This window comes from Homo sapiens, chromosome 3, assembly GCF_000001405.40.
Source record: "Homo sapiens chromosome 3, GRCh38.p14 Primary Assembly".
In the NCBI taxonomy this organism is placed as follows: Eukaryota; Metazoa; Chordata; class Mammalia; order Primates; family Hominidae; genus Homo; species Homo sapiens.
Window position 1 is genome coordinate 69,125,643 of NC_000003.12, and position 7,633 is coordinate 69,133,275.

Genomic DNA, 7,633 nt, shown 5'->3' on the forward strand with positions numbered 1-7,633 from the left:
TAACCTAACCCTCCCCAATCTTAAATAATTCATATTTTGGGAAATACAGAGCTAAATATTAAAGAGCAGCCTCTGGAGTCAGTATACCTGGATTTCAGTGTCAGCTCCATTCCTAACTTAGGTGATACTGAGCAACTTAGCCCATATCTGATAATAATGTCTACCATATGCAATTATTGAGAAAATTAAATGAGGTTTTATACATATATATGAGGCTTTATTATATCTATATCCATAGATATATGTGGTAGGATGGTACATGGCACAGAGTAACCCTCAATAAATGTTAAACAGTATTATTCTCATAACTCATGGTTAACTGCAGAAATATTTAAAGAAAAACAAAGGCAATGATAAAATGCAGTATGTTTACATAATGCAGTACATTTACATGTACTACATTTTAAAAACCATTTTCAAGATAGAAACCGTTATATTAATGGCAATAAACAAAAGAGCTTTCAAAATCTTGTTGCTTTTACAGAAAGGAACTGAGAGACTTTTAGGTGGAATTATGTATAAAGAAAATAGAAAACCACCATTTGCATATAAATATGAAGCTCCCCCAAGAAAATGATCTGAAAGGTGGCTTGTAAGCTTTTAGATTCAAATTCTCTTCTGATGAATTCCACTTATTTTAATGTGATCAAAATGCTTTTGATGATCGAGCTGATTTAGGAATTTCTGTAAGGAGTGCTCCTTCATCTGACTTGCATCTTGCTGAATGAGCGTAGGCAGTGGGTAAATCTCTCCCAGCTGCTTCTACTGTGCATTTTATCCATATGCTGACAGGGAGGGTTTTGCTGGTGTAATTAGCCTCATTTGACACAGAGATGATTTAGTTGTGCTTTCTCTTAATGATGTTCCAGTGCTGCCACCTCAACAGCTTCTCACATCAGAATCCAGCTATGATACCAAAAGAATGTAGCTAGCTGTAGGATAATCGACAGAATATTAGAGCCAGATAGGGCATCACAGATCATCTGGTTTTGAATCAGAGTCTTCAGGGGAAGTTATTAAGTATATTGTCTCTCTGGACCCCACCCAGAAGCAACTCAGGTCTGGGCCCAGGAATCTGTATTTTGTGAAAGCGCTCCAGGTGATCCTGATGTGTAAATAAGTGTGAGAGTCACAGAGCTACTGCAAGCCACTCATTTTATAGATCAGGCTCAGTGAGCTTAAGACACATTGCACTCATTCATTTATTCAGCAGTATTTGCCAAGTGCCTAGTTGTGCTATATGCTGTGCTAGGCGCTAGGAATACAAGAGTGGTTGAGACAAAGTCACTTTCCAGTGATGAAGACAAGTAAATAATTGCTGGTTGCATTAAATGCTGTGGAAGGAGATGAAAACTACATTTTAGATAATCACAGGGGAGACCTACCTTGGTTAGGGAAGTTAGGAAAAGCCTCTCTGAGGTGGTAACACCTAATGAATGAAATCAACCGTAGGATAGGAGGGAACAGCAATCTATGCAGAGGGAACCAAGTGCAAAGTCCTTTAGACAGGCAAGATCTTGGGCTTTTCTAGGCAGTGACGCAAGGTGACACTCACATAACTGGACTCTGTTGTGCAAGGAGGAGATGAGGACAGGGACCTAGGCAGGGGCTAGATCAGATAAGTCTTTATGACCTGGAGTGAGTTGGATTTCATTCTAAGTGTCATTGGAAACCATTGGAGAGTTTGAAGCACAGGACTAACAGATGATTTACATTTCTAAAAGATCACTTTTGCTGCAGGCTGGAAAATGGACTGGAAGGGTTAGGGAACAGGCAAGAATAAAATCAGGAGATAAGTGAAGACCCCAGTCTCCTGACAGCTCTTAACACTCAAGGCTCTTTCAGTGTTTAGATGATCTCAGAGGCCCTGGGTGTTTTGTTTTGTCGTCACAAATAAGGCTTATAGTGTGCTGAGGAAACACCAATGTTTCTTTCTACAGCTCTGATCTTCAGTGATTACAGTGTTTTGCCACATCCCCATACCCCCTGCTTCACACACCCACCCCCTGCAAGGAGTATACTAAATTTTAATAGAGAAAAAGCTCATGCCAAATAATAATAATTTCTGGCTAAATCTACAACTGAGAAATTCTAATATTTTAAAATAAACTAGAAAAAAGAGTTACATGCATGTTAACTGATCTCTGGTGAAAGATTAACATTAGTTCATAGTAATAACATATATTTATGTAGAAAAATTATACACACACACACACACACACACACACACACACACACACACACACAGAGATATATGCTTGAAGATGCATAGAATAGTCCTAGCAGGATACACAATAATGGTTATGTCCTGAAGTAAGGTTATCTGGAGTGGGGAGGGGAAGTGGGCGGCTGGAAGACAAGTTTAAGAGGGAGAGTTTCCACTGAATACTATTTTTGTTTTGTTTTGTTTTGTTTTTGAGACAAGGTCTCACGTTGTCACCCAGGCTGGAGTGCAATAGCACAAACATGGCTCACTGCAGCCTTGGCTTTCCAGACTCAAGGGATCCTCCTGCATCAGCACCACAGGTAGCTCAGACTACAGGTACAAGCCACCACGGAAGGTTAACTTTTTTTTTTCTTAGTAGAGATGGGTTTTTGCCATGTTGCCCGGGCTGGTCTCAAACTCCTGAGCTCAAGCAATCTGTCTGCCTCGACCTCCCAAAGTGCTAGAATTACAGGCATGAGCCACCATGCCTGGCCTGAATACTGTTTTGTACTTTGAAAAAACAACTGTCTCTTTTCTTGTACCAGCCTGCAGATTTCCTCATTTTTTGCTCAAGTTCAATTAGGATTTTTTGTGACTTGCAGCTTGAAGGAGTCCTAATATACTCTCCCACTTAAGTCCCTTCAATGATTTTCTATAGCCTAAGGATGAATCCTAATTTCCTGACATGGCCTCAAGATCTAGACTCTGCTTCCTTTCCCAGTTGTGTTTCTCAGTCCCTGTCTCATGCTGTTTCAAACACAACCAACTTGAGGACCCCAAGGGGTGAAACTCCCTGTCATGCCCAAGTTTTGTGCAGCTTGTTCCAGTTCTGAAGTTACCTCCTCCAGGAAGCCCTCCTGGACCTGAAAACTGGGCTTGGTATTGCTCTGATGTCCTTGCCTAGAGCTGGGCATGTGTCCCCATGGTGTTGTCATTGCCATTTCACTGATCAATCTTTCCCCTAGGGACTGTAACTCTGTGAAAACAAAGTTGACCTTCTTTATCATGTCATCAGTAATGCCTAGCATAGTATTTAGTGATATAATTTTTTTGCAGCTAATCTCTTAATTTTTTAACCACAGAAATATCCAAACTGTGCAAAATAGTGGGCATTTCAAAACATCTGACATCTGCTTCATTTGGTCTTCATATCTGAAAACCTGAAATAATAACTTGAAGTCAATAAAGCAAGATGCTTCGAACATAAGACTTGGGAGTCAGACTGGATCCAAATCCTGGTTGTGCCACTGACTGGGAAACCTAGGAAGTTCCTTCTCCCAACTGTGTCCGTTGGCTCTGTTTGAACAGTGGAAAAGCAGTTTAATTCATTGGTTAAACCCAGAGGCTTCAGATTTAGGATGTCTGGTTTCAGATACCAACTCTGCCCCATCCTAACTGTGCCATTTGGGTCAAGTCAATCTCTCCCTTCTCGGTTACTTCATCTGTAAATATGAGATAATAAACATACCTACTTTATAGGATTTTTGAAAAAAACTAAGTGACAATCCATAGTAAACTCTTAGTAAACATTACTATACTTTCACAAGTAAATTGTGTCACTCTTTTCTGCCTAGAAAGTGCCTGATATCTCACAAATATTTGTCCATGACTGAAAAATGAGTGACTTTTCCATTTTACTTTTTCTAAAACAGCACATATAATATATGCATAAAAATGTTTAAAGGTTAATACATTTATGAAAAGTTCTGATAAGAGGAAGCACTTCTTTCTTGTATCCACTTATTTTTCCATTCTACATTCACTCAGGATGTGAAGGCTGTGGATAAGTCATCCCATCTCTTTCTTCAGCTTCAAACCACTGGCTATAAATTGACACAACTATAAACGGTTTCCAAATGTCACTAAATAAATCAGTTCTGTCCTGTTTGTGGTATGCTATTCTCTTGTGCAATTCCATCTGGATCACCAAGGTTCTGCCCACTGGCTGCAAATTGCCTGAAGATTTTGTGAGTGTAATATAAATGCCTAGCTCTCTCCTCAAATTTCCCTGACCCATAGCTGCAAGGCCTCAGGATGGGCTCTGAAATGTATGAGGCAAGTGCTTCTCTAAAGTTAAGACACCCAGACTGCCTTGCCTCCACCAGCCCCCAGGATAGCTTGAATTACAAGAGGTTATGTATTACTTTACCTTAATTTTTTTTGTAAGCCATCTCAAAAATTCTTAAATTAAATTGGTTTTATTTTTTATTTTTTTAATTTTATAATTATTATACTTTAAGTTTTAGGGTACATGTGCACAATGTGCAGGTTAATTACATATGTATACATGGGCCATGCTGGTGTGCTGCACCCATTAACTCATCATTTAGCATTAGGTATACCTCCTAAAGCTATCCCTCCCCCCTCCCCCCACCCCACAACAATCCCCAGAGTGTGATGTTCCCCTTCCTGTGTCCATGTGTTCTCATTGTTCAATTCCCACCTATGAGTGAGAATATGCGGTGTTTGGTTTTTTGTCCTTGTGATAGTTTACTGAGAATGATGATTTCCAATTTCATCCATGTCCCTACAAAGGACATGAACTCATCATTTTTTATGGCTACATAGTATTCCATGGTGTATATGTGCCATCTTTTCTTAATCCAGTCTATCATTGTTGGACAGTTGAGTTGGTTCCAAGTCTTTGCTATTGTGAATAGTGCTGCAATAAACATACGTGTGCATGTGTCTTTATAGCAGCACGATTTATAGTCCTTTGGGTACATACCCAGTAATGGGATGGCTGGGTCAAATGGTATTTCTAGTTCTAGATCCCTGAGGAATCCCCACACTGACTTCCACAAGGGTTGAACTAGTTTACAGTCCCACCAACAGTGTAAAAGTGTGCCTATTTCTCCACATCCTCTCCAGCACCTGTTGTTTGGTTTAGTTTCACAGGTAGATCAATTCTATGTATTTCTGAAGTGTGTTAGGATGTTGCTTCAGTGCTACTAATATAGTTATTATACTAAATAGTACTGCTAATACCATTACTGCTATCATCACCACCACTACTGGTACTATTATTATTACAACCTCTGCTACTGAAACTGGAACTGTTACCAACTGCAACTGTTACCACAGCTATTGCTGCTGCTACTGCTGCTGTTGCTACAATTATTAATATCATTATGACATTCCTCCTGCTGCTGCTACTACTGGTGCTGTTAATTTTACAGTTTCACTGCTAACATTTATTGATCACTTAACATTGCTAAGCTTGTGATAAGTGCTTTATATATGACATATCAATTTCTTCACACAACAACCTTGAAATATGGATTTTTTTTTTTTTTTTTTGAGATGGACTCTCACTCAGTCACCCAGGCTGGAATGCAATGGTGCAATCTTGGCTCACTGCAACCTCCGCCTCCCAGGTTCAAGCAATTCTCCTGCCCCAGCCTCCCGAATAGCTGAGATTACAGGCGCCTGCCATCATGCTCAGCTTATTTTTGTATTTTTGTAGAGACAGGGTTTCACCATATTGGCCAGGCTGGTCTTGAACTCCTGACCTCTGGTGATCCACCCACCTCAGCCTCCCAAAGTGCTGGGATTACAGGTGCGAGCCACTGCGCATGGCTGAAAGATGGATATTTTTGTTAACCTTCTTTCATAGATACTAAAGCTGAGGCATAGGCATTTGAACTGAAGACAGTCTCTAAAAGTCAAAGCTCTTAATCAGTGTCCTCTATTGCTTCCTCAGTTTAGCAGAGATGGCACTCACATACCTAAAAGGCTGGAATTACAAAGCACAGGAAGCAACTGCTCTTGTTGGTACAAATAAAAAACGGTGAAGTCTGGCAGAATTTGAGTAATCAGCAGCAGAAATGCTACTGTCGTCAGACACCTATTGAGAATGTTGAGACATTGGCTGTAAATATTATTGGATCAAATTATTCGGGAGAATGTTGGGTTCAAGAAAGCTAGAAAGGCCAGGCGTGGTGGCCCACACCTGTCTTCCCAGCACTTTAGGAGGCCAAGACGGGCAGACTACTTGAGCCTAGGAGTTCAAGACCAGTTCTGGCAACATGGCAAAACCCCCTCTCTACAAAAAAATTAGCCAGCTGTGGTGGGACATGCCTGCAGACCCAGCTACCTGGGAGGTTGAGGTGGGAGGATCACCTGAGCCTGGTGGGTGGGATTGCAGTGAGCTGTGATCGAGCCACTTGCACGCCAGCCTGGTTGTCAAAGTAAGACCCTGTCTCTCTCTCTCTCTCTCTCTCTCTCTCACACACACACACACACAAACACACACACACACAAGCTAGAGAGCTTACTTAACCAAAAAGACTTAAACATGCCAATGAGAATTATGAATTTCTAAACCGAGAAAAATAGCCTTTTTTGAACTGATGACCACAAAAAAAAGCTTTATTCTATGGGACATATTATGACTACTATTCCTTAGAACACATTTTGTGAATGTTGATCTAAGTCAAATGAAGTCAAGAAAACAATATATATTATGTGCTTGCATAGAAAAAAAGATTGGAAGGAAATACTCTAAAATGTTACAATCCAGCTGGAGGAATTACCAATGATTTTTATTTTGCGATCAAACCATTTTTGTATTTCCATAGAACAAATAAATGCTGCTTACATTTTAAAGCACAGAAAATAACTGCAAATAATCTTTAAGTTGATTTCAGAATAACTGCTTTAATTTTCCTACTAACCTGGGCTATGAGCAGCCTACTAAAACAGGTGAAAAATAAATGTGGGTCTGATCAGATTTGCAGAACAAAATACTGTAACTCTTAACTCTCTGGCATCTTTAAAATAACCCTGATATGGTTTGGCTGTGTCCCCACCCAAATCTCATCTCGAATTGTAATCTCCACGTGTCCAAGGAGGGGCCTGGTGGAAGGTGAATGAATAATGGGGCAAACTTATCCCTTGCTGTTCTTGTGATAGTGAGTTCTCAAGAGATCTGGTTTGAAAGTGCGTGGCAATTCCCCCCACCCTGCTCTGCCGTAGTAATATGTACTTGCTTCCCCTTCACCGTCAGCCATGATTGTAAGTTTCCTGAGGCCTCCCAGGCATGCTTCCTGTACAGCCTGGGAAACTGTGAGTCAATTAAACCTCTTTTCTTCATAAATTATCTAGTCTCAGGTAGCTCTTTATAGCAGTGTGAGAACTAATAAAAACCCATTCATATTTTTCTTTGACATTAGTAAAAACTGCAGGCAAATATCAAGTCTTTCTTTTTGAATATCTCAAAGATAAGACATTTCCCAACTACTTTGACAAGAGTCCACCTTACCGAAGACAAAGATACAAAAATGTTTTTAAACTAGCAAATCTATGATTTCCTGAATGTTGTCCCCAACACATTTTACCACACAAATTGATTTCTTCAATCAAGCTGTGGAATTAATGGGAATTTACAATTAATTCAAAGCCAGGGTGGTTACACCACAGTGTGAA